A 26928-nucleotide genomic window follows, 5' to 3' on the forward strand; every position below is an offset into this window, starting at 1 on the left:
CAGAGAGACCGGGGGGCAGGGGTGCAGCGCCCTGCTCACAGCTCCCCTGGCCTATTGGAGTCTGGGCCTTGCTAAGTGCAGACAAGGTCTGCTGAGTGAGCTAACAAGTTTCTCATCCATCTGGGGTCAGTTTTAAAGGTTGCGCTGTCTGAAGTCTGGGGAATGAACTGGCTGATCTTTGAAGGTTTGTTTCTGTCTAAGGATTCGCTGAACTTGGATTTGGATTTCTGTCCTATGAAAATGCACTGTAGCTTTTAATTTTTTGAAGAATACTTCAGGCTGCAGAAACTATTAATCCTTGCCATTTTGAACTTGATAACTGGCATTAGGACTGATCATTCTTCAGGCAAATGGGAAGAATCTAAGATAGTTCTCTGCAATCACAAGCTTTTTGAAATTCTCAGGATTTATGAAAAAATTAATCAAACTCAGGCTGCTCAAATGACCAAATGGGATCAGGCTTTGGGGGACAGTCAGCGGCCCACTGATGGGACTGGCTCCCTTTTGCTCTTCCCCCAAATCTGTGCACTCAGGGAGGCTGGGGCAATAGCCAGAGGTGGCATGAGCTGAGGGAAGCAGGCTGGCTCTCGGTGCAGTGGGTACTATTTTGTCTATTCCCTATTCATGCTTACGACTCTATTGGGACCTGGGGGACCCCAACAGATGTATCCCCCTGAACTGGAACGAAGCAGAGTTGGGAGCTGAGCTCTGCTATTCTGCGGGACGCTTGTGAGCTGTGACCAGGCAGCAGCAGCCCCGCAGGCAGCACATCTGTGCTCACACCCTCTTGCCCGTGTGTGTGGGAGAGGGGAAGAGGGAGCGAAAACAGCCGCAGGTGCAAGGCACAGCAGAGCAGCTGAATTGAAACAGGGTCCTGAGGTCAGACCCTGAGCAGCAAAGCCCTCCTTCTTCCACAGATGCTGAGTGGCTCCGCCCTGGGCTCACAAAGATGAACAAGCTACGCTAGGTGCTTCATCAGTGCTGTTGGATGGATGGATGAGAAATGGAGAAAATGAAATAAAGAAGTAAAAGAGCCAATAGGCCGGTGGGGAGGGGACAATCACACACAGGAAAAATGTGACTAACGGTGAAGGAACCCTCAAGGAAAGATGAGCACCCAGTGATGGATGCAGACGCAACTGGCATAATATTTTACCAACAATAAAGTGATGCATTTCAAGTTCCCCCTTAAATCAAGTTCTGCTCACTACCCTCCCATCTCCGAGTCATGAGGCTTATTGCCCAGGGCAGGAGAGAGAAGGCACTAACTCTGTAGCATGACCCGGCCTTTGGAGAGGGGAAAGAGAGAGAATGAGAATTTGCTAAAATGGTTTAGCTCCCACCGTACTCTGCGGGTCTGTAGGACTCAGACCTCAGCATTCTCCCCAAGAGTAGAGGAGGCATCCTTTCCTCATCAGATGACCACGAGGCTCCCCTGGGCCACGAGGCTTTGTGCCGCTGCTCCTGCCACCTGGGGCAACCGCATGTGTCTGGGCAGAGAGCCAGAACCACCTTGGCTCCTGGTATGGAAACAGGCCCAATTTTCCCAGATAACTGAAGCTTGAGAAACTTAAATTTGTTTCATCTGAGTTCTTTTAACAGGAAACCAAACACCAGGCCTCCTAGATCACTGCATCCGGACAATGAGACACACCTGCTGCCTATTGACCATCTCCTGTCTTACCCCTCCCTAATTCCCTGCTATCTAAACCCCGAACTTTAGTCAGAGAGATGGATTTGCAACCGGTCTCCCATTTCCAGGCTGATGTCATTGAGATTAAAGCCTTTCTTCCCTGGCAATATTCCATCCACTCAGTGATGGACTTTCTGTGAGGTGAACAACCAGACCTAGACCGAACCCCTGGTGTTCAGCAACATAATATCTGGACCTGAGAACTGCCTTGGGCTGCCAGACCAAGGTCCAAAGGGAAGTGCTCCTGGCCTCAAGGGGCATGGAGGCCAGTGGTGGCTGTGGGAGGCCTTGCTTGGGGGAATATCCTGACCCGCGAGTACACCAGACTGTGAGCCCAGATCATGAGCACACCCAGGGCTGAGCTCAGCTTCAAGTGACCTCAGACAGGGCAACTCAGAGTCCCTTGCCGTGGGAAGTGAGGCCGCAGTGCACCACCACGCTGCTTCCCTGGACACTCAGAAGCCAGCCGGGGAGAGCAGCTGGGACGTGGGGTGGAAGCTAGAGACACAGAGCAGTTTTTAGACAGAGCACTACTTACGTGGACTGTTAAAATCGTCAGCTCGTGCTAATCTTTACAATGGATTGAGCATTTAGTTGTGCTTTTCTCCCATTGGGGTGAGGCTTGTAAAGTCAGGTTAGTTACAAAAGGAATCAGATTTTCCCTGCACGTCTGATCTGTGGTCAGACTAGAAGGAAAAGACCAATTGGGCCATCGGGGAGGGGCTCTTGGAGGCAGCAGCAGGGCTTCCCCTGGGCCCTAGAGATCCGCTTCTCAGGTGCGGCTCCCCAGCCACCTGTATCATATCTCTGGGGGTGGGTAATTAAAACACAGATTCTTGCCCCTCTGCCTCAGGCTGATGCAGATGCTCTGGTGGGCTGGATGGACATCCAGATTTTAACAAGTGGGCTGGGTGGACATCCAGATTTTAACAAGCATCCCAAGGGGTTCTATGATGGCCTGAGAACCACTGTGTTACAAGATGAGAAGGGCTCTGGGTACATAGAGAGGGGGAATGCAGGTGGGAGACAGGGAGACGAGGCAGGTCTGGTAGGCTGGGGTTTCCTGGGGCTCTAGATACAAGGCTAGGAGCATGGCCCCTCATTTGGAACATAGGACTGATGTGAAAGGTAGGATCCCTTCCTCCATGTGGCCCCAAAGTCATATATTCCAAGCGGCTCTAGAGAAAGGTCTGCAGGAGCCTCAAACATGGGGCTAATAGGAAACAAAAATCCAAGTGGGAGACGGAAGTCTTCTGTGTCCCTCCGGTCCTCTGCTGGCTGGGATAACTGGCTGCTGCATCCTCCCTGAGTTATTCCCAGCCATTTGCATGTAGAAGATGTGCACTTTGCGCAGGAAAAACTCGTGCAAAATTAGAATGTGTGAATACTGATAGAACCATCGTAGTTCTGCTCCTGTCAGCTACATGAATATTAACCAAACAGCAAATATTTGGATCACTTAAAATTTAATTAAATGAATGTTTTATTGGATTTAATTTGTGTCAATATTCCCCAGCTCCTTTCACAGTTCTGAAGGGATTTATGGCTACTGAGCCCTCTCCTTCCACCCTCACTCCCCGTTATTTCCTGGTCAACAAGCCTCCCCCTGGCGGGTCCTCCTTCCTTGCTAAATGGAAAGAGTAGGACTAAGTGGCTTCCCAGGGTGACTTCCAGGGAGAGTAAAAAATGAGACAGCATCATGTGCTAGGCCCCGAGTGAGCAGGGCAGGCCACCTGGCCCCCAGGCCTGGCTCTGCTGCTGACAAGCTCAGTGGCCTTGGCAGCTCCCTTCCTGTCACTGGGCCTCAGTTTAGACATGGATACAATGAGGGCTTGGGCCCCCCTCGCTTTTGACTCGGAGCCGATTATTCTATGTTCATGCCCCTGGAGACCCCCTGAGTCTTGCAAGTGCTCCCACTGCATCTTTTCTTGCCCCTAAGTGTCATCTGCCCCTGTTCTTTGCCCACTTACCCATGATGGTAAAAGTGACGCCTCAAGTGGCAGCACCAATGGGTGCCAAGTCCCACTAAGGCTTCCCTCCCGATACCCTTTGAGGACTCCCCTGCCCCATCCCAGGCCCCCTATAGCCTCCTTCATGGTCACCCCTCCAGTTTGCCCCTGCTGCCTGCAACTGTCTTGTTGCCACTGGCAGAACAAGGTACATCTCAGCCCTGCTCAACAGCTGTCAATGGCTCCCTATTACCCACAGATCACCACATAGAATCCAGAAGAGTCCCCAGTCTTGACCCTGCTGTGTCTCCAACATTATTTACCACTGTGCCAGCTGGCTCCCCATGGCATTTGTGTCTTCAGACCTCAGCGTGGGCCTGCTTGGCACCTGCTGCTCATCCATTCTGAGCTCCTCACACTATTGGCCCCTACCTCCAAGATGACCTCATGGGATGTTTCTGGGACCCTGAAGTTTTAATGTAAAGAAACACTTGGACAGATATTAGGTGAAGAAGATTGAAAGAGACTGTCCTGGTGAATTTATCAGAACTTTTTCAGGCTTAGTAACAGAAACACTCAGAAATGCTCAACTATTAATAGCTTAGGGGGAAAAAGGTGGTTTAGTTCCCACAATGGGAAATCTAAGGGAGGTGGAAGAGGTTGCAGGCATCCAGGGCCTTCGACAGTGGCATTCTCTACTTGGTTGCAAGATGTCCATTGGTGGCCCCACACTCACATTGTTTCTGTATGTGGGATCCCAGAGGAAGGGAACAAATCTTGCCTGAGAGCCCTGGAAAAAGCATGGGGGAGCTCTGATTGGCCACATACAGCTCCTGTGTTCTTCCCTGAAGCAAACACTGAGGGCAAGAGGACTGAGTATTGTGCAGGTGTGGGACTGATTGGCCCATCAGGCCTGGGCCGTGTGGCCACCTCCAGGGGCAGGGACTAGGTGTTTGGGCTGGGGTAAAATGGCTAATGGAAAGGGTATATTGGGCAGATTGACACCCTATGACCATCATAGGGATGCAGAGAGGGCCCCCTCCCTTCCCCCTATCTGCATCACAACTGCATCGGGAAGCCTGGGCATCGTGCGTGATCAGGGCAGATAGCCGCAGTCATACAGTGAAGACGGTAAGAATCGTCAGAACTGAAACCTGATTTAGGCTACTACAGTCTTGCCTCCACCCTGCGCCTTCTCTGGAGAGTGATGGGGGCAGCTTTCACAGGGAGGAGATGTGGCCCAACTAAGCAAACCCCATCATCCTGTTGAGCCTCACATCCTGATGGCGAGGGTCTGGAATTTGTGGAGATGGCCTTCTGTGTTCAGTGATCACACATCTCCTGAACCTCACCTGCGCTGGCCACATCTGCAGGGCTGTGGACCAGTTAAGCCCCAGGCCTGGTCTCTGCTCTGGTGGGGAGCCAGGCCACATGAGAGGAAGATGAAGATGCCACATGCAGCCCTCTAGGGGGCAACGAGTGGTCCTTCTGGCTCCTGGCTGTGGCTCCAATGCCCCTGTGTTGACTGACCATCTGTGGGCTCATTAGCCACTATGTGGGAAGGTTTCCAAGGTCCCTGGACGACCAAACGTGATATGCCCAGCACTCAGAGTGTGATCAGGGGTCAGTGAGAGAGGGCTCAGCCAGACGCTGTGTCTGGGGTGAGAATGTGTCTACACACTGAGGCTGGTGTCTTTGGAAAGAGAGGGCTGGGTTGGGGGTCAGAGCAGCCCATCAGGGAGCTTGTCTGGCACTACTGGGCAGAAGTCTGTGCCCACAGAGGGACTGACGCCCTGCTATGAGAACTGACATTGGAGAGCTGCTCTGCAAGTAGGGAATCTGAGGAGGGCAAGGGAGTTGGGGGGTTCTCAAAGCTCAGGGCTTCCCATGATATCCCCCTGGGATGAAAACAAATGGGTCACACTGCAGTGATGGCCCAAGTCAGTGTGGGTTGGTTGGCACAAGACAGAGCTTCCTGGACCACTAGCTAGGCTGCGTGTCCCACAGTGGGATTCTGGGCAGGGCTGTCTGGCACTCTGGTGCCTAGCACAAGGCATGGCACACAGTAGGTGGGCTCAAGGCCATGACCTATCTCTCTAGGCCCTTCAAACCAGTGCAGTAGCATACCCTTGGTTTTCCAGACATGAGATGCCACAAACACCCGTCCTCACCTTTCTCCCTGAGTCTTGGAGCTTGGAGAGAAGAGGCAGTCACAGGGAATTAATGGGCTTACCATAAGCAGGCTAACAAACACCCTTCCTGAAAGCAGGAGGCCATAACATTTCAGTTGTTGGAGAACTGGGTTTTAGTTCCTATTACAGGTTTCCCTTAATCTCAGGCGCTATTTCTCACACTGACTTGAACTCGATAAGACACTCATAAACCCATCAGCACCCTCTCAAACAGGATTCTGGTGCTTTGTAGTGATAGAAATTAAATTTCTCAAATTCTTGTCAAGCTGGTGTTAGTTTTCTTATGTCAGAAACACACTAATGGAACACATTCCTACTTGGATATTTGCCATTTTTCAAATGATGCCATTGGTGAAAAAAACCCTGTCAAAAGCTCAGTAACCTGCCTGCACATCAATATTTTTGACTGAGCCTCGGAGGGCAAACTCAGGCTCAGGGGCCTGCTTGGGAATGAGGGCAATTTGGAGAGAGCACAGGCCAGGCGCTTAGACACATCTCTCTAACTGCGGCCTCTTCCCACATTATTCTCCTTCTAAATTAATGTGCTTTCCTGAAACAAACCCCTCAGGTGACCTAGGTGCCACCAAAGAAGCTGGGGCATTGGAGTGACAAAGTCTATTGATCTGGTCCCATCCCTGTGACCAGAGTCACACTGTGAAGTTGGCGAGTAGGGGAGGAGCCAAGGGGGAGTGCGCATGCCCAGTGTCTCCTGAACAAACAGGGCAACATCTCCCGGACCTTGTGACTTTGGCTGGTGTTTACAGAGTGAAGCTGCTTTGGCGTATCCTGGTGAGCCGGGCAAGGCGGGTGGGAGGGATGGTGTGCTTTTTGTCTCCTCTGTTCCGTCTACCAGAGATTGTCACTCTGGGATCCTTTCAAATAACTGCTGAATGTTTGTGGATGGGAGGCTGGGGACAGGATGTCTTAAAGCCTTTCATCTTGACATTCCTGTTTAGAGCACCAGGGTGCATCCAGCCTGCACAGGTGGCTCTGTATTAGCCAGACTTGCTCCAAAGCCACACAAGAGAGCACTTGCATCTGTCCCAAATCTCCTGTTTCCTTACGTGTAACCAGATTCAATCTTCCTGCCATTGTCATTCCCTCTTGCTTGCTTCATTTTGGGGATGGCAATAAAATTACTAGTTAATTACCTGCGGGTCAGTGGGTAATTTACTTTTTCAACTGGCCTATGTTGCTTGATGTTGCTTCAACTTTTATTACAGTTTAGTTATCAAGTTCTGCTCTCTGGTGTGAACAAACACCTTTGTAAGCTGCATAAAGGCAGAGACTATATCTGTTTTATTTATGTTGTATCCCCAGCACCTAATACAATGCCTACCACGCAGAAGGGACTTAATAAGCAGTTTTAAGCAAGTGAACTATTAGGCTAGTGCTCAGTCAACAATTATTTATGGAGCTGGTACCAGGAGCCAGGATACAGTGGGAATATACTGGCAAGAAAAACAGGCCCAGTGCTTGCTAACCTGGAGCTCATGGCTTAGCAGAGAAGACAAGTGTTAAGTGGGGAGGGAGAGCAGAGGCCTGAACCTGTCTACAGACCCCAGGTTAAGGGCCCGTGACTCCTGTAAAGCCTGGTTGCCCTCTTTCTTGGTAGAGCCCTCCCTGTGTGCCTGGCAGACCTGTGTCCTGCTATCGAGACATCCTAGTCTGATGTAGTATCCTCCTTGTTTGCAGGAGGGGCCGGCCTGTGCAGGGGCAGGGTTACCTGGGCATCCCTCTAGGCTCTGGGGTTCCATTTAGCCTCCTCTGGCCAATACACCTTTTTAGTTTTGAGAAAACTAAACCTCAATGTGACTGCTGTGTGCAGACGAACAGGAAGTTAGAGCAGAACTCAGTGCCCAGGGGCTGTGAGATCACCATTCTGGGTATCATGGGGTGCCACAGTGTGGCAGGCAGGAGAGGCATCCATCAGAAGGAGCAAAGGGTCCTTGCTGAGGTGGAGAGCACAGGGCCTCCTGGTCAGCAGGAGCATGGCTGTCACAGTGCTGCATACCAGCTCTTCCACCTCCGCTGGTTCCTGTGTGTGGGGTAGCCTTGGTCAGCTTGGCCACTCTATGGGTCTCTCCCACCCTACTGAGTCTACACCCAAAGATGATGGGCATACCTCTGCTCAAGATATTTGCAAAAGGAGAGTATCCTAACTGCCTATTACTTTGGTGTCTTAAGGGGGAAAAGAATGTATTACCTTATGTAATTATACAGAGCTACTCAGAATTTACAAAAATTCATACAGATCTCTAAGGTTGGATCCAGAATCTCCTGAGCAAGTCAGTGGAGAAGAGCAAACAGTTTTTACCTAACTAGCAAGAGGGGGCCATGCTGTGTGTTTCCAAATGCCAGCTCATCTTCCAATTCCTGTGCACTCATTATGACTATTTCGTGGCCTCTCTTGGAGCCAGAATGGGGCCATGTCATTGGGTTTGACATGGTAGGTGATAGGAGGTGACCAAGCCTGGCCACACAACCTCTGTGTCATTGTCTTGGTTAGTTTTATGTGTTACCTTGACTGGGCCACAAGGCACCCAGATATTTGTTCGAGCATTATCCTGGGTGTGTCTGTGAGGGTGTTTCTGGATGAGATTGACATTTGAATCAGTAGACTGAGTAGAGAAGATTGCCCTCCCCAATGAGGGCAGGCCTCATCCAATTCGTTGAAGACCTAGATAGAAAAAATGAGCCTGGGTAAGAGGGAAACCCTCCTGTCTCACTGCTGAGCTGTGACATTGGTCTTTTTCCTGCTTTCAGACTGAAACTGAAACACTGGCTTCAACAGAAGCCAATGTTTTATTGGTTCCGTAGAAGACATATACATCTTCTGTTGGTTTTATTTTTCTGGAGGATAACACAGTCATCATCCATGCTCTCCTCTCCTCGTCTTTGGAGGTCATGCATTTGATGAGAGTGAAGAACATGGTCTAGTCACTGTTTAGGGAGAGCTGCCTGACCCCATCGGACTTGATGAGGATGGGAAACCAGCCTTTACTATACTACACTACTGAGATTTTGGGATTTCTATAGCAGCTGGTGTTAATTACATAACACACCCCCTCAGAAGGGAAAGAAATACCAGTTAACGTATTTCCACTGAAGAAGTCATAAGGAAATGGGAAACAGTCTTTTGACAGGCCAAGTCATCCAGGTCAGGAACCTTCTGAGAATGTTCTAACAAGAGTAGGTCCAACTTTGGCTCCAATCCCCAGAATACCTTCTGTACAGGGAGCTCACTCCTTCACTCCACATCTGTATCTGTTGCTACAGCGTCCAAACTGCTGGACTGAGGGAGCAAGGGCTGGGGGTGGGGGGTGTCTCAGAATAGGCTGGCAGAGAACATGCAAACAAATTACACAGTACAATAAGCATTACGGATAGAAAGAACAAGATGAGAGAATACCAAGAGAGTAGCAGGGGAGGGCTATTAAGGTGTGTGTGTGGGGGGTGGGTGCTGGTGTGGCGGAAAGCCTCTTTGAGTAGAGAATATTTAAGTGAAGATCTTTAAAATGAGAAGAAGCCAGCCAGGCCAAGAATGGGAGCAAGGACATTCTAGTTAGAGAAAACAGCCCATACAAAGGTCTTGAGGCAGGGTGGGGGCTTGGAGTGCTCTGGGAGCTGAAATAGACCAGTGCAGCTGAAGCACATGGCACAAGGCAAGGGCATGTGGCACAGATGCGGTCAGAGGCAGGAAATAGCTAGTTAGAGCAGGCAGAGCAAGGTAAGGACTGATGGCTGTAATTTAAGGAGATGAAAAGTGATCAGAAGGATTTTTTTTTCTTTTTTTTTTTTTTTTTTGAGGAGGAGTCTCGCTCTGTCACCCAGGCTGGAGTGCGCGGCACGATCTTGGCTCATGATCAGAAGGATTTTAAGTCAATCAGGGATGTGACATGATTTGCATGCTAAAGGGTCACTCCGGCTGTTGTGCAAATAACGGACTGGTGGGAGAGAGGGAAAAAATGCAGGGGGACCATTTAGGAGGCCAAGGCAGTAGTTCAGGAGAGAGACAGGTGGTGACTGTGGAGATGAAGAGGAAGGGACAGGGCTGGGAAATAGTTTGGATGGGGTGGGGATAAAAGAGGTGTCAGGAATGACTCCCGTGTTCCTGACTTGATCCTCTTGCATAATACGGTGTGATTTCCTGTGGTGAAGCAGGCTGGGAGGGGAGGTCCAGGGACCCCACACAACATTGAGGTCCCATCTTTGTCTTGATGATAACCCCCTAACCCTCCCAAGGCATTTGATTTGAAATGTAATTTGGGATCACTTTCTTGGCCTCCTCCAGTGAAAGAGATTTGAAGATGATTTCTAAACTGTGGCATTCTTGTTACTAAAAACCCTCCTCCAAGGAAGCAGAATAGATGCAAGTCTTTATCATCTGGGTCCCCGTCGTCCCAAGTTTCCTGGGGTTGGACTGTGTCCGGCGGGCCGCTCGAGCAGCCGAAGGCAGACACAGAGCCTCCCCTACTGCATCCCTTCACCATTTCCACCCCACAGCACAGGCTGTGCCCTCTCCAAATGGGGGACTGTGCTTCACATGCAGGGAGGGGAGAAGCCACTGGGTCCTGAAAGAACATGAATAAATATAACTTGTTTTCTGTTTAATTATCCAGTCTCCTGAGAATGCTCTGTCATGGCTGTGTTTTGTAAACAGGCATCTGCAGACCATTTTGAACGGTTTACATCAGTGTATTTGTTTTTGATTCCAATTTCCTGAGCGTGCCACAGTGGCTGATGAACTCCTGATGAGGGGTTCCTGTGCCAGCCGTCAGCTCTGCTGCTCCCAGGGACCACAGAGCTCCTGCTGCCTTCTTTTTGTAGAGGAAACATTGCTCACAGCCTCCCGGCCCCTCTCTAAGCACGGCTCCCAGGGACCTCCGCCCTCCACCTCCTGGTCCAGGGGAAGCCATGATCAGACTCTGTTTCCCACTATGAGAGACTCCTGGTATCCTGTTTTCAGGGCTCACCTGAGAAGCTCTTACAGCTTGTTTGCTGAATATTTAGTAACATGGCAGGGAGCTCAGCTGAGCCCAATTGTTGGAAGGGCAGGGGCACTGGCCCCTGATGGCCTGATTTGGACTTTGGCAGAGGGGTTCAGGAGTGGGGTTTGGAAGAGCCTCATCCCTCTCCAACTGGTGACACTGTGGGCACGAGCAGAAAGTGGAAACGTGGAGTAAGGAAGCCCTCTGGGGGCAGTGGTAAGAAAGGAGGCTGGAGATGTTGGGAGGAGGGCTGGCGGGGCCTGTGGTCTGGTAAGGAGTCTATGTTTGATTTTCTAAGAAGCTGTTGTAGGATTCTAGGCAGGAGACTAAAATGGTCTGATTTACACCTTTAAAGACCATCTGTGTATTGGTTGAGATGGTCTTCAGCTGCATTAACAGAAAATCCTGACTGGAAATGGGGCTGGCTAATTCGGAAATTCTATCTCCATCACGAGAAGGCCCCACTGCATGTTTCCTGGGCAGGTTAATTCCATGGTTCCCGAATGTCACCAAAGCCTCAAGCTCTCTTTTCTGCAGTCCTCAGAACGCTGTCTTGATGCCCGTCGGGGTTACTGGGAAGCCTACAAACAGGTGGAGGCATCACACGTAGGTACATATCCGGTGGAAAGGATGTGAGTTTTAAGAACTATAAACTAAAAATAAAATCCTAAGACATCCCCCAAATGGATGGACCCCCCTCTTAGCCGAGAAGACCCCAGAAAACTCTTAAAAACTGACTTCCCAGCCATGATGGGATAAAAGGTTGGACACGCCTTGTTATATCCACTCCGTTTTGCAGTTTAGACACAACAATGGACCAGCATTCATGTTAAAACAGAGCTCATGAGAGTGACAGGCCAGGCGCGGTGCTCACGCCTGGAATCCCAGCACTTTGGGAGGCTGAGGTGGGTGGATCATTGAGGTCAGGAGTTTGAGACCAGCCTGGCCAACATGGTGAAACTCCGTCTCTACTAAAAATACAAAAATTAGCTGGATGTGGTGGCACACACCTGTAATCCTAGCACTTTGGGAGGCTGAGGCAGGCGGATCACTTGAGCTCAGGAGTTCAAGGCCTGCCTGGACAACATGGCGAAACTCCATCTCTACAAAAAATACAAATAATTAGCCGGGCATGGTGGTGTGTGCCTGTAGTCCCAGCTACTCAGGAGGCTGAGGTGGGAGAATTGCTTGAGCCCAGGAGGCGGAGGTTGTCGTGAGCTGAGATTGCGCCACTGGACTCCAACCTGGGCAACAGCAGAGTGAGACCTAGTCTCAAAAAAAAAAAAAAAGTGACAGAATAGACTCTTTGTGGTAATAAAATACCCAATTATAAATGGGACCTAACGCCATGTCAGGCAAAGGTTAAGTCTCGCACCCCCTATGCTTGAATAAACTGCGCTCTACCTGCCACTAGGCTTTTCCTTTCCTCCAGCAGCTAAACAAGCACTGGCCTTGAGATAAGCAATGCTGGAACAACTGCAGCTCCCCTGGAGGCCGACTCACTGCCCCAGCCCCTGTTCTACAGGTCGCAACTACAGCTTCGACTGGATGAGAGACTGATTTCAGTAACTTTCTCCTGATAAGAGGACCACTGACCCTGGACTGATTCTGTCTGCTTTACACAGGCTGCACACTTGAGTGCCTTTGCATCCTGAAAAGACCTTTTCACCTAAAGGGCCTAATTGTAATAGAGTGAAATGTTAACTTTCCACTCCAAAGTGAAAATGGGTCATATGTTACATGCATGCTTGTTCAATACCCATGCGCCAGGACCACCTTCCTAAATGTCCACAGCTCCTCCTGTAACCTGTAGAATATGTCTACTTGGCCAACCACATTCAGCATAAAGCTCCGACCACAATCCCTTCTCCTTCCAAGCGCCTGTCTCTGGTCTTTGCTGCAGGCTGCACTGCCCAGCCTGCGGGATGGTAACCTTGCAGGCTGTAATCCTTTATAAGAAAGAAAGTCTCCTTTTCTAAATTGACACTTATGTGATTTTTTTTAAGTTAACAAAACAAAGAAGCTTCTCCAAGAGGCCCCCAGCTGACTTCCCCTCAGGTTCTTTGGCCAGATCCGTGTCACATCACTCCTAAACAAATGTGGAAAAGCCACCCTGACTGGCATCAGGTGGTGTGGGGGGAGGTGGGCAAACAGGTTCTGTCAGGAAGGAGGGTGGGGCTGAGGGTGTTGGGACAACACTCTGTTGGTTTGGGTGTCGGGGGGTGGGTGATAGAGGAGGCTGCCACCCAGGCATGGCGCTCTGGACCGAGCATGGCTCTGAGAGCAGGTGCTGGGGGCAGACTGATTGGGCCACCTGCTGGAAGAGGGGCCAACAGGCTTGACTGGATGGGGAGATTGAGGGAAAGGGAGGAATCCAGGATGAATACTGGGGTTTTGGCCTGAAAAACTGTGTGGGTGTTGGTTCCATTTGCTGAGAGGCTGAGGGTTAGGGTAGACATTTCAGCTGAGATGCAGAGTTCTGTCTTTAACCATGGAAGGTGGGCTGAGGGGTGGTCAGTTGGATATGGGAGTTTGGGGCTCAGGAGAGTGGCCTAGGCTAGGTGTGCAACCTTGAAATTTATTGATGCATAAGTAATACTTAGAAACACAGGATCACATGAGATCCCTGGGGAGAGAGTGTGGAGTGAGGAAAGAGATCTGAGGGTGGAGTTCTGGGACCCCCAATGTTTAAAGGCGAGAGGATGGGCAGGGGCCAGTGAGGAGGGTAGGGCTGAGGAAGAAGGGCCAAGGAGGGTGTGGCTCACTTGTGCCCAGTGTGGCCGAGAGCTCTAGGTGGATAAGGAGTGAGATTTGACTGTGGGCTTGGCAACACAGAGGTCATTTGGGACCTCTAATGTTTCGTTAGAGCACTGGGGAATGAAGCCATCTTTGGAATGGGTTGGACAGAGAACGGGAGGTGAGAAGGTGAAGAGGCATTCTTTAGAAGGGTTTTGTCATGATAGAGAGCAGAGAAATGGGATGGTAGACAGAAGGTCAAGGATATTGGCTTGTTATGTTTTTAAGGTGTTGTGTTTGTGTGCTAATGGGAGTGATTGGATAGAGAGGGAGAATTGTATGCTACAAGAGAGAGAAGGGAGAATTTCAGAAGAAAAGTCTCTGAGTGGGTGAGGCAGGGGCACGGAGCCTGAGTGGGGGCCCAGCCTCTGATGGGGCAGAGACCTTGTGCATTGTGACAGAAGGTGGGCAGAGCCTGGAGTATAATGGGGATGTGGGGAACTGAACCCAATGGTGGAAAGATTGGGTAAAACCCATTTGGTATACATTAGTGCCTCTCAAACAAAGTGAGTTTTCTCAAGAGACATTTGGTAATGCCTGGAGGTATTTTTGGTTGTCACAACTTGGGGAGGGGGTGGTTTCTTACTGGCATCTGGTGGACGCAGCCTGAGGATGCCATGGAACAGCTCAAAATACACAGAACAGTCTCCATGACAAAGAATTAAATGGCTCCAAATACCAATAGTGGCGCTGTTGAGAACTGTGCTATATATTAATAACCACAATGCTAGCAATAAAAATGTGACTTGCACACCCTTAAAATAAATACTTATTTTTCGTATGTTGGGAGTGGCTGCCCACCCACTGCCCTGCCCGAGGCAGGGGAGATCACCTGTGTGGATACATCCCTGTCCTAACTCACCCGTGTCTTGGTGGTTACACTCTGGGGAGGCCCCCTGTCATTCCTCATCCTGAGCTCGACAAGCCCAAACCTTGCCCGGGGGTGTGGCTATCACACTCTCCTGCAGACACCAGGCTTGGGGGGCTCACCTGCCGTTCCTGGTGGTGGAGGGTCTCTGTGCAGGCAGCTGACTGGGAGGGAGACTCAGAAGAGTGGGTGTCACCACAATTTGCCTTTGCCAAAACCTTTTCTGTGTTAGGCAGACGCATGGCAGCAAAGTTTTAAAGTATTGGGATGCGAGAAATCTCTTTCCCTTATATGGGACATTTCTCTCTCTCTTCGTCTTGGGTAGGTTCTTTAAATTATCTTGCAGTGAGAACCCTATCATGTCATGTATGCTTTGTCCAAGGACAGGTCTTGGTAAGAAAAATGCCTCGTTTCCTCTCCAAAGACTCCTCTGCCATCTGTCAGTTTGGAAATCTCCACATCTTGACCCATGGCAAATTGCTTCTCAGCAGCACTGATGTGGGGCTTGCCTTAGGAGGCACAGGCAGAGGCTGCCAGCTGGCTGAGTGAATGGTCCATTTTAGGGATGAATGAACCAAAATCTCGTCCACTCTCCCCATCTTAACAATTACAGCCAGGCACCCTCCCACTCCTCTGAAGCCACACTTTTCTCTTCATCCCCTCTGTGCTGCTTCCAGTAGGGACTGCAGCATTTGGTGGCAGGAGGTGGCCTCTTCCCTGGGAATGCTGGCCATAGGGTGGGTCTGTGCAGCACCACCTCCTAGGCCCCGTCCCCCCACATCATCTCGGAGGGAGCGGGCTCCTCTGCCTGGCACTGAAGGCCTGCCAGCACCTGATTTCCAGCCTCATCTCCCACAACTCACACTGAGCTGGACACAAGCGGAACTGCCGGCCACTCTCCAAATGTCCTGGGCCTTCCCCCGTCGCTGGCCACCAGGGAGGGCACCACCTCACAGAGGAGCTCAAAACTATGCAAATATGCCCAGATCATCTCAACTCAAACTTGGCAGCTGAAAGTCAATGTGAAAGTTCCAGGCTTTAGTGACATCTCTGCCCTGCCCTTACCCCACCCTGCCTCTGGAGGTGACACAGGTGTGGTGACTGCCCTGCACCCAGTAAGGATGCCTGTCTGGGGCCTCTGGGGCAGGGGTGGGGCAGGACACAAACCCACAAAAATAAATTTCAATGATCACAAAGGTAGGGGTGAAACTAAACGTTTGAAAAAGTATCCTTTGACAAATTTGCCATGTGGTGGGTTGGGTTTTGGAGAATTGGCCTGTAGTCTGAACGCAGGGGAGTCACTCCCCCTCCCACTAGGGACCCACAGGCTGGCAGGAGATGCTCCACAGGCTGCCCCTCCCCCAGCACCCCTGCACGGCTGGTCATGCTGGACCTGATGCCACTGACAGGCCTGTCCCATGTGGGGATGTGAAAGCGGAGACCCAGAGAGGTACTGTGGTACTGTGGACACTAGGGTGGGGGCCCTCTCCTAGGGGCCTCATTTGCTGTGCTGAGTGTGGTTGGGACTTCACAGCCTACCACCCACACGATGGGGGATTGTCAAATGGCTCCAACCAAAAGGTACTCTCCCTAGAGGCTGGTGGCAGCCCTACAAGTCCTGGTCATGTTGTCCGCACCCAGGCCCACATAGAGTGGCTAAGCCCTCGCTAAGGGTGAGCACACCATGACTACACAGCTGGCAGCCCCGAATCCCACTGCCTGAGCCTGAGCACTCCCAGGAGGCCCTCACTGGACATCGTGAGCCCAGCCAGCGCTGGCCAGACAGTTCTGAGCATGCAGAGCACAGAGCCCAGGCGTGGGGGCCCCTGTGGGCAAACCCAGGGTACACAGACCACAGCACGCACACCCAACATGGCTGCTGACTATTTTCAAGGTCCTGACCTTGGCAGCTTCTACAGACGGATTAGGAAGTTGTGGGCAGAACGGCTTTGTGCTGTCCTGAAACAACACTCTGGTTTAATGAGCTCCTTGTACACGCAGGGCAATTGTCAGTGAAATCTGCCCATTAAAATGCATGTGGTTTGGAAGGAGGCTTGGCCCTCTCCCGGCTGAGGCCGAGGCCCTGCCCGGCTCCTGCCTCTCCACCCTTCCCCAGGGCTGCCGTCCACATGGGCTCGGAAAGAAGGTGGTGAGCCAGGAATGCTGTGGAGCAAATCGCTGCATATCAGCAGAACCTGGGCTTCAGGATGCCTCTGTCCCTCTGTGAGAAGCAGGTGAGGCAGCTGCCTAGCTCTGCAGTCTCTCACTGATTAAGGAGTGGGGGAGTCTGTGGCAGCAGATGGTAAAGGACACTGTCCACTCCTGTCCTCTGCTTGCCTGGTGTCCTGGGAGCCAGGAAAGCTGGATCAGGCCTAGGACTCCCTCTTGGTCAGCCTGCAGCAGACAAAGCAGCCTCTGCTGCCCTGCTCAGAGAGAAGCCTGGGCAGTGGAGGTCCGGAGCAGTGACCACAGCTTCCCCCTTGTGGGCTCCTCACTCAGTGTCCTCAGCTTTGGGAGGGTCCTGACGTTTCTGGATCTCCCCCATGGGAACCAGAAAAGGATGTGCACGTCGCTGCCCCCAGTGCCTTCTAAGAGCACAAAGGTCCCCACAAGTCACACAGGTGGAGGGTCTGGCCTGCCAGTTGGGCAGGGTGGGCTCCTGTGCTGTGTCTCCACACGTGGAGTCTTCCCAATCCCATGTCTCAGGACCACTTTTCCCGGGAGGAGGAACGGTAGTAGGAAAAACTGGGTGATGATTCAACAGGTTCTGGGGATAGGGGAAGAAAAGGGAGGAGATGGGGTCTGGGAGGAGGAGGTGCAGGATTCTGGTAGGGGGTGGTGAGGAGGCGGGCACAGGACAGGCCCAACACCTGCCATCTGAAAGCTGCAGACTGTGTTTGCATGGGGCTGTGAGGGCCTGTCCCTGAGCCCTGGCTTAGGAGGGCCCCAGGACCCATGAGAGGGCCTGGGGCTGGGGTTAAACAGGCAGGGGCAGTAATGACAACCTGTTCTTCACAAAGCACGCTCATATCCACAGCCGCATAAGCCCCACAGGGAGGCCGGGTGAGGAACATCTGCCCATCACACAGATGAAGAGGCTGAGGCTGAATGAGGTGAAGCAATTTGCCCCAGGTCTCAAGTGGATCCTCTCCCCTGATGCCCAGGCTGGTCAGAGCAAGGGAAGCACCATGGCCATAGTGCTCCTGGGGTGCCCTTGCTAAAGGGGGGACTTGGTGTTGCTCTCCTGCCAGTGGATACCTGAGTCCATCACTGAAGATGTGTTTCAGAAACTGAGACACACCTGGGAAGGAACTGCCTGCCATGCTGTCAGTCATTAACACACAGGCAGAAGAGACTGCTAGATAGGTTCCAAGTGGGGGAGGTGTGATTTGCTTGGGGCAGAGGTCAGGGTCCAGAGAACAGGAAGAAGGTCATGAGACATAGGAGGCAAACCCTCCTGACCTCCACATTTCACTGGCTTGGCTGGGGCAAGAAGGGCTGCATTTAGAAGGCACGTGAGCTACACATTCAGGCTCAGCAGAAATGAACAGTATCATTGAGGAGCTGTGTCTGCCACTGACTCTGGAGGAATTTGCTTTCAATAGCATTAGCCATTTAACTGAAATTTTACCTTAAAAAAATGCCAAAACTAATGGGCTCAAATAAAATGTTAGCTATTATGTAGTAGTTTCTGAAAAATCCAGCTGGTCACAACTCAAGCTTTAAAGGGAGTTCACTTGGAAAATCAAGGAGCCAGAGACATCAGGTAATCAGAACAGAACTGATAAACCCACTCAACAGGCTTTAGCATGAGCACTGTCTTCACCAAGAGCGGAGGCTAGATTCCCCTTCCTGGGAGCTTCATCTATTGTCGCCCAAGCTCCCAGGTCATCAGTTTACAGCACAGAACACTTTGGGTCCGGTCAACTTTGGTCTGTGCCTTCCCACACCACATGATGGAGAATTCTATGCTGACTCCCAGGGCTCCAATTCCTCCCTGGCCTGTGTGCTGTCCCCTACTTTGAGTGAGACAAGTCACTACCCCCCTACATGGGTGTTGTTTGAAAGGCTGGGCTAATGCACATTTGAGTTCCTGGGTGACTGAGGAGTCCTGGGGAGTTCTGAGGACTTTGCAGGTCAAATGGGAGGTGGTGGAGGCCCGGCTCATTTGTCTTGGTAGCCCGGCTTCTGCAGGAGCATGGTCCAAGTGCAAACCTCACCTGCCTTCCTGCTCATCCTGAGACAGGGAGGAGGGAGTGAGCTGTTTCATTTTTTTTCCTAACTTTGGAAACCATAAAACATGGAGACAAGAGCCAGTCACTTTTGGAAGAGTTGTCAGGAAGCCTCTAGTGAAGGTATCCGATGGTATACTTGCACAGATGTGCAAAGATATCTGTGACCAACGACGCCAATTGCAGTATTATCTAGTGAAAAACTAAGAACAACCTGAATATCCATCATCAGGGGATTGGTTATTATGTTTTGGTTTCAAATAGAATTTGAAAGAGCCAGGCAGGCTGGGCGCGGTGGCTCGTGCCTGTAATCCCAGTATTTTGGGAGGCCGAGGTGGGTAGATCACCAGGTCAGGAGATCGAGACCATCCTGGCTAACACGGTGAAACCCCATCTCTACTAAAAATACAAAAAAATTAGCCGGGCATGGTGGCGGGCGCCTGTAGTCCCAGCTACTCGGGAGGCTGAGGTAGGAGAATGGCGTGAACCCGGGAGGCGGAGCTTGCAGTGAGCTGAGATCGTGCCACTGCACCACTCCAGCCTGGGCGATGGAGCGAGACTCCATCTCAAAAAAAAAAAAAAAAAAAAAGAAAGAGCCAGGCAAATCTATTTGTACTGACCTGAAATGGTTTTAAATGAGAAAAGCAAGTTGCAAAACAATGTGTGGAGTCTGATCCCAGGTCACAAAAATACCTGTGTGGTGTTTGTACATGCAGGAGAGAAAGCCTGTGTGGGTCCAAGCAAATTGCCAGTGGAATTTATCCATGAGGCGTGAGACGGGGGATAAGAGAGCAGTGGGATTTGGGAGGGGTTATCTTTCAACTTCTTATGTGCAGTAGTGTACAATTAGCATGTATTACTTTGAACAAAATATATTCCAGAAGAAAGGAAAGAAAACCGAGGAACATCCGTGTCTCAGGGTCTAACGATGGCCACATACAGGCAGCTGGACTTGAAGGATATGTTCTTAGGAACTCATGCTCACTTGGGTTCTGGAGTTTTTCAATCAGCCCAATGCTCTGGCCCAAGCCCTCACTAGAGATGGTCCTTTGTCTGGTCCTTTGTCTGCTCCATGTAAGGGGTGCTGGACCTGTTAATCCTGTTTGCCTTTGAGCTCACTTTGGTTGGGGTCTGGAAAGTTCTACCAGTCCCATCAGTGTGTCTCTCTCATCTTACATGCTGACTGCAGACTTCACTGCAGCTCGGACCCTTATGAATATGGGTTTGGTGAACACTGTGCTTGTAAAGCTTAGAGAGGAGGTCTCAAATTTGACGGCATCTGTTGCTGCCTATCCAGTTCCGATGGAAGCCTCCATGCCCACGCACCTGCTCTGCTTCTCTCTCTCTCCTTTCCTCTCAAGTTTCTTTAATTCAGATCAACCTTCCCTGGTAGCCCCTAACTCAATAAAGTACGTGTGCCTAACATGGCCCTTCCTGCAGGGTTCCACTTCATTATCTCCATAATCAAACCTGGGGCTGCATAAGAAGAGCACAACCACTCTCCAAGTGATTTAACAGGATGCTTTAATGATGTATTGAGAATGAACATTGATCCCAGGTAAGAGGTGCTAAACTGATACTTTAAAAGCACACCACCCATTTCGCTCTGATGGACTCTCCTCCTTAAATCACCGTGTTGTCATTTTTACGATGCAGATCTAGCTATTGAGGCTACAGGACTGTGAAATGTCATATAAAAAAGCCAATAAGAAAAAAATAAAATTAAGTTGCGGAGAGCGTGTATTAGCATTTCAAAAATGTTCTGTTGCATTATGCTATTATTCTCTCTCTGTCAAGGGGCACTGGGATCCTTTCCTCCCCATAAAGAGACTGTGCCACAGAATGTATTAGCGCTCCGTTCCTGAAACGGCGTGGCAGCTGAAGGGCATAGTTACAATAATGGCAAAATACATTCCGGACTAAATTTGATAGGACGTGGGGGCAGTCCGCCTCCTCTGATGACAAAGTCCTGATTGCTTCTCTCCTTGTTGGCTCAGTCCTGTGGCTTTCAAAGTTTTGACAAATGAATGTTTTCAGCATTTCTGCCCTGCAAGAAAGTGAGGAATGAGATCTGCTGAGGTGAGGGTCTGACTCTTGCATTTCAGATGACAATGCGGGGACTGGGATTTTGTAAAGGGCAGGTCACCCCTACTCTATGCTCTCCTGCCCCATAGCTTGTATGATAACCCCCACATTATCCAAAGCCCAGAACTACTCCAATTGCTGGGTCTAGGGTTGCATAGTCATAATCCGCTGTGCCATCTGGAAAGGACGAGTTTAATAACTCACAATGGGCCTCAGTCTTCAGGACTGGAAGCCTTTGAAAAACTTTACCTCCATCCTTGGAACTCAAACACTTGGCTCTCTGAGGTTCCATTGTAAGTTGGAGTTCAGTTAGAGCTACTTCCTGAGCTCTGCTTCCAGGCCTGAGTTGGGCCAGATGGAGGGAAGTGGCTGCAGCAGGAAGAGGCTCTGCTTGCCCGTCTTGAAGGGCCCTCTCAGTCTCCTGGGTAACTGTGGGAATGTGATTCCTTTCGATGGCTCTTAATTTGCCCAATTGGGGAAGATGAATCTAGTGCCCCTGGTAGGTGATTACATTAAGCCATTGAGACAATTGTAGTGCTTTATCTGGGACTTTTCAGAAAGCTGACTTGTTCTTTAGGAGCCATCGGCTTAATGGAATTCCACTGTGTTATTTTCCAGTGTGATGTGCTGCAAGATGGGTTTGATCAGCACTTTGGTTTGGGGAATATATTTTCATTTGAGAAGATGCCTCTGCTGGGCTTCTTGTGGCATTGGTTTTGGAAGCACAGATTCTCAGCCCAGCCGAGGGAAGGCCACGACACATACAGGGTGTGGAGAGCACAGACCTGCTTTAAACTTCTTGCCAGGAGTGGCTAGCCTTTCCTGCCCCCCACCGCCCCAGCATCAAGCCCAGCTAGTGAGATTCTGTTCTGAATTGAATTTTAGCCTTAATGAGATACCAAGTCCCTTCTGTTCTCAGTAACAGAGACCTTGAGAGTTTTTATTAGAGAGTGAGTGAGACAAAACTTTTCACTGTTTTTCATGTTCCTAATAACAGCCTAAGTCGTAACCTGAATTTTTATGTAACTAATTATGACTGTGACTTGGGTATGAAAGATTTATACAATCAGAAAAGAAATTACCTGGGTTATCTCTGAGCAGGCGGGGGATGAACTGCATAAGGAAGTTAATCAGTTTTCTAGGTCATACAAAAGGCACCTGCACGGTGCTGGGTGGCATGGCCAGTGGCAGAGGGAGGGAGGGATGCAGGGGATGCCCTCCTGGGACCTCAACAGAGCTGCTTTTCCTCCTCCACCCTGAAGAGCAGCCAGCTTTGACCGGGGGGCTTTGGAATCGACACTTTCTCCCAACATGACTTTCTCACCCCCAGCTTCCTAAGAGCGACTCATGGTACGCAACAGTTCCAGGGAAATTAAAACACAGTGAGGTGAGTGGCTTAATGGGAAACAGGAGACATCCCAACAAGGGGAATGTACCAGGAATGTCAATTCCTACAATCAGAAAGGAAGCCAGAATTCTATTAATTTTTGCACCTTAAAGTTTCATTTCAGTTAAAAACAGGGACTGAAAATTAATGACACGGCCATTTCTTGAAGCCAACAACCAAAGGAATGAGTGTTTGCCAAGAAGCAATAGCTCTTGTAACACTTACACTCACTGCATTCTTAACGCATTGTTTGTCTGTGGAAAAAGCAGTTTGCCCAGCGTGGTGGTAAGGAGGGCATGATGGAAAGCCGGCGTGGAGGGAGAGAGGAGGCACGCGCGTGCAGCGCCGTGACGTGCATTTAGTTACACGACGGCTTCTGGAGGCCCACAACTGATTAATATACACGGGCTTGTTCATTTACTCAGCATTATGTTTAATCATTTAATTTCGCAAGAGTTTTTAGATCTTTTAATCATCCTAATATTCTTCTTATTGCAACATATTACTAAGCTGTTAGTTCAGTTCAATTAAAAAGTGTCATCCAAAAGTAATTTATTCCATATGCGTCATTAAGTGGATACCCCAGATATGTCTGCATTTTAAAGGAATAATAACTCTTCCGATTTTATTAGTCTGTAAATGAGTGCGCTGCATTAGCACTAAAGGCAGCATCGCGAGTGGTGAATGTTTGTAGGCATTGATGTGGCAACAGATCTATAACTGTTTCTCTGGATTTTGTACTAAAACTCAGAAGAGAAGATGAAAACTTGGGCCATCTGTTAGGACTTGTAATTCTCAGGTGGCCCCTGAAACCCAGTTTGACTTTCTGATGCTGATAATATTTGTCATAGAACAGCCCTTCAGTTCCCCTTCTGGGAGCTTCTTGCCAGGGTTTGCCATCCCCTGCAGGAGCAGGACGGATTGGGCCATCAAGGGCCAGAGTTGCATGTGCTGGGGGCCAGCGCTGGGCATAGGGAGAGGTTAGTCCCTTGTCACAGTTCTGACCTTCCTGGTTGACTCTTGTGATATTTCCTCTGTTCTCTCCAGGGAAGTGCTGTCCAATGGTATGGCAATGCAAGCCACATATCTGATTTACATTTCTTGTAGCCAAGTAAAAAGAAGAAACAGCTGATAGTAATTTAATAATATCTAAACTACTCTTTTAACATAAAATCAATGTAAAAATTAGTTAATGAGATATTTACCTTCTTTTTCCACAGAAGGCTTTAAAATCTAATGTGTATTTTATACTTACATCTCAATTTGGACTAGCCTAATTTCAGGTGCTCAGCAGCCACACATACCTAGGACTTGTAACATAGCCATGTTGGAGACTTAGCTCTAGAGTCCTCCAGCCTGGGGCCCTGTGTGGCCTGTGGCTGTGGCTTACCTGGGCCTGTGGCTCCTCTTAATGGAGGAGGGAGCTACTTGGGGTCAGGGTTACCTGGGGGATCTTACTGAAGAAGTTGGCAGCCCTGTTCTTCGAGCTTCTCCCAAGGGGTGCAGAACAGTGGATACTGGCTACTGATGACCTCTGAGGCTTGACTTACCCTGAGGTTTCAGGAACCCAGCAGGCCCCAGGCTGGTGGAAAGAAACAGCTGCAAAGATGCTTGTGACCACGTATCTGTGTTCACAGGCCTTTGCGTAGCTGAAGGGAAACCTACGTTTGCAGGCAGCGGAAGGAGTAACCCACTCCAGGGATAACAGGGAGCTCTGCCCAGGGAGGGTCCATATCCGCCTCTCACTCCACCGTCCTTCCCCCAAGCATGAGTCAGGGCATGCAGGAGGTGCTGACACACAGCGGAGTTCCCTTCTGTGCCTCCAGCAGGAGACTAGCCTGATTACTGAGCTCAGAGAGTCAGCTTGGTCCTTAGCCTGCTGCATCCCACAAGGAAAGATTTACTCTCCTTGGGGAACAAAGTCTTCCATGATGAGACACTTAGGATATTAATGCCTGCACTTTGAGGCCCAAGTGTTCATTTTTCTTTGGCAAACTCTCAACATGGCCAGGGCGGTGGCTGGGGCTGATGGAGTTGCTTGCAGAGATGTCCTCTGGGCAGGCAGGGATGTTATTTAATACTTGAGTCTGGTGACAGCAGCCAAAGGTGGTTCCCATTTCCTGAACTTTAAGCAGTTAATCCCCTCAGCCTGTGTCCTATTTGGGCCAGCAGAAGAGCCTTGAGAAGTGAGGGACAAATAGAGAGACCTTGCAAAATCTTAATGCCCTTCTCTACTTTTGCAAAATGCTGTGCTTATTAATATCTCATTCTCAGAAAAAGGGCAATCTGTGCTTTTTTTTTTTTTTTTAGGAGAACAGCAATAAAAAAGGAAAATTAAATTAGCAACTCTGTCTGAGCTTCTCATCCATTCAAGTGTCTTCAACTTCATAACCTGTTAACTTACTTAAACTCTGGCCACCTATTTAAGAGGTTTCAAGAAGACAGCAGTATTCTGCCTGACCCCATTGGAATGTCAGCCTAAGAGACACAGGTCTGAAGCCTAGGGGCTGGTCCCGAGTGAGAGGGCTTTGGTGGGGTGGTGTGCTCAGACCGCCCACGTGACCCAGAAAGCTAATCCTTCCGTCAACACAGCAGTCCTCGCTCCAAAGCACACACTCAACTCCAAGAATTAGTCAAATACAATTACACACATGAGGTGGCCTCTCCACCCCTATTAAATAATGGGAAGATAAAACTGTCATCAGAGGAAAACATCACAAAGAATCTGTACTTAGTAACCAGGACAAGGTACCAGTAATAGCTGCTAACAGTTATTGGGTGCCAACTGTATACCTGACTTTGTCCTATGCATAGGACCTGCTACATAATTTACAGGGCCTTGTGTAATATAAAAATGCAGTTCCCTTTGTTTAAAAAATTATAAGAATTTAGGCTGGGCACAGTGGCTCATGTCTGTAATCCCAGCACTTTGGGAGGCCGAGGCGGGTGGATCACTTGAGGTTAGGAGTTTGAGACCAGCCTGGCCAACATGGTGAAACCCTGTCTCTACTAAAAATACAAAAAAGTTAGCTGGGCTTGGTGGTGCACGCTTGTAATCACAGCTATTCGGGAGGCTGAGGCAGGAGAATCACTTGAACCCATGAAGTGGAGGTTGCAATGAGCTGAGATTGCACCACTGTACTCCAGCCTCGGTGACGGAGGGAAACTCTGTTATGAAGTTCAAAATGTGGCCAGGCACAGTGGCTCATGCCTATAATCCCAGCACTTTGGGAGGCCGAGACAGGCAGATCATCTGAGGTCAGGAGTTCGAGACCAGCCTGACTAACATGGTGAAACCCTGTCTGTATTAAAAATACAGAAATTAGCCAGGCGTGGTGGCGGGTGCCTGTAGTCCCAGCTACTTGGGAGGCTGAGGCAGAAGAATCGCTTGAACCCGGAAGGCGGTGGTTCCAGGGTGCCGAGATCGTGCCACTGCACTCTAGCCTGGGCAACAAGAGAAAAACTCTGTCTTAAAAAAACAAAAAAAAAAGGAATTTCAAGATGTCGACAGCAGAGCATTAAAGCAAGCATGGGCCCCTTCTGAGTGTGGACCCCTGTGTGACTACACATGTCTCAAGCCAGAAGGCTGCATTGCATCAACTGGTTTAATTCTCGTAACAAAATACATACGAATACCCTCTCCATTTTACAGATGAGCAAAGCAAGGCTTAAAGAGCTAAGGAGACTGTGGGAATGAAGGTTTCGAAGTGGTCTGAATGGAGAAAGAAGCGGTGGGAGAGCTGAGTCATCATGCAGCACACGGCAAGGTAGCAGAAAACCCTGGAGAACAACAGCAGCCTGCCCCAGAGTCAGCCGTGAGCGCTGATTTAGTTTCAGGAAAACAATAACACTTTGTCCCATTAAATTAATGTTGTTAATTTGAAGTTTATTGGTTTTGCAGTTTGCTTTTATTTCATTTATAAATTTGTTTTAGCTTTATGGCTGTGAGAGAGCTCCCTGCATAAGGAACGTGTACCTGGTTTTATGTTTGTACATATTTAAGTAACATTATACTAAATATAACTCAAGTCAACAGAGAGCAATCACAATGTTTCCCCTCTAAGTGGGGTCTGCACCTTCCTTAAGGAGGGAAATACATCTCTTGTCCCCCAGGGTGGAAGCCATAGAGGGTGCTCACAACCCTGTCTTCAGCTGGCTGCCAGCAGGGCTGTCCTGGCTTGCTTGGGGCCTGTGATGCTGGACCCCAGTGGAGAGGGAGGGCACGCGTAGGTGGCTCCTCTGAGCAGGTGGCTGTCTACAGGCTGGGGATGGCAGGGCCCCGGAAGGTCTGTCCCGCCCTGGCCTCCCTCCTGGCTGCTGCCCTACATTCCTTTGTCTTGGCCCAGGGAGCCCTTAGCCTTATGGCAAATTCTTGAAAAGTGTCCCTGACCCAAAGGCAGGGAGGGCCCTGTAGGAACACCCAGGGTCTCAAGGCCATGGTGGGGGAAATAATAATGACCCCTCAAGACTGTGTCCCAAGCTGGCCCTGAATGGGTACCTTGGGGCCAAAGGCCATCCCTCCCCACTCCCCACCATGGTTAAGTGTCTACTCTTATAACAGGAGCATGTTTAAAACCAGGCATCAATATCTTGTTACTCTGTGCATATTCTCCACCAGCAATTTGATGCGAAGAGATAGATTTCTGACAGAGATGCATACCAAAGGCTTGCACAAGAACATTCATAGGACCATTATTTATAATTTTCCCAAACTGGAAACAAGCTGGTACATCAA

General features: G+C 49.9%; 1 protein-coding gene and 1 long non-coding RNA gene across 7 annotated transcripts in view, besides 2 other annotated features; one reads left to right on the plus strand and one right to left on the minus strand.

The window, feature by feature from the left end:
- The window catches only part of FSTL4 (follistatin like 4), a 645613-nt gene that overhangs the window by 53441 nt on the left and 565244 nt on the right, over positions 1–26928 (minus strand). Inside the window, exon 1 of one of the 5 annotated variants that reach the window (XM_017009251.2) lies at positions 2232–2394. The exons of the other annotated variants lie outside the window; for them this stretch is intronic. The gene's annotated coding sequence lies outside the window, so the exon portion shown is untranslated. Of the gene's footprint in view, positions 1–2231; positions 2395–26928 lie in introns of those variants that run through there. 5 annotated transcript variants of the gene reach the window in all.
- FSTL4-AS1 (FSTL4 antisense RNA 1) lies at positions 6550–26077 on the plus strand. Of its 2 annotated transcripts, none has more exons than XR_007058939.1 (2): positions 6550–6623; positions 25846–26077. It is a non-coding gene; the product is annotated as an FSTL4 antisense RNA 1 (long non-coding RNA). The 2 variants fall into 2 exon arrangements; XR_007058940.1 differs by lacking the exon at positions 6550–6623 and adding an exon at positions 20175–20279.
- Positions 12570–13071: an enhancer, noted in NCBI's record as "H3K4me1 hESC enhancer chr5:132598157-132598658 (GRCh37/hg19 assembly coordinates)". NCBI's record gives its function as "activates a minimal SCP1, AML or CMV promoter by ChIP-STARR-seq in naive H9 embryonic stem cells {active_cell/tissue: H9 hESC(naive)}" and the evidence as "EXISTENCE:reporter gene assay evidence [ECO:0000049][PMID:30033119]".
- Positions 15735–15814: an enhancer, noted in NCBI's record as "active region_23103". NCBI's record gives its function as "activates an Ori minimal core promoter by ATAC-STARR-seq in GM12878 lymphoblastoid cells {active_cell/tissue: GM12878}" and the evidence as "EXISTENCE:reporter gene assay evidence [ECO:0000049][PMID:35858748]".

Source organism: Homo sapiens, chromosome 5, assembly GCF_000001405.40.
Source record: "Homo sapiens chromosome 5, GRCh38.p14 Primary Assembly".
Lineage (NCBI taxonomy): Eukaryota > Metazoa > Chordata > Mammalia > Primates > Hominidae > Homo > Homo sapiens.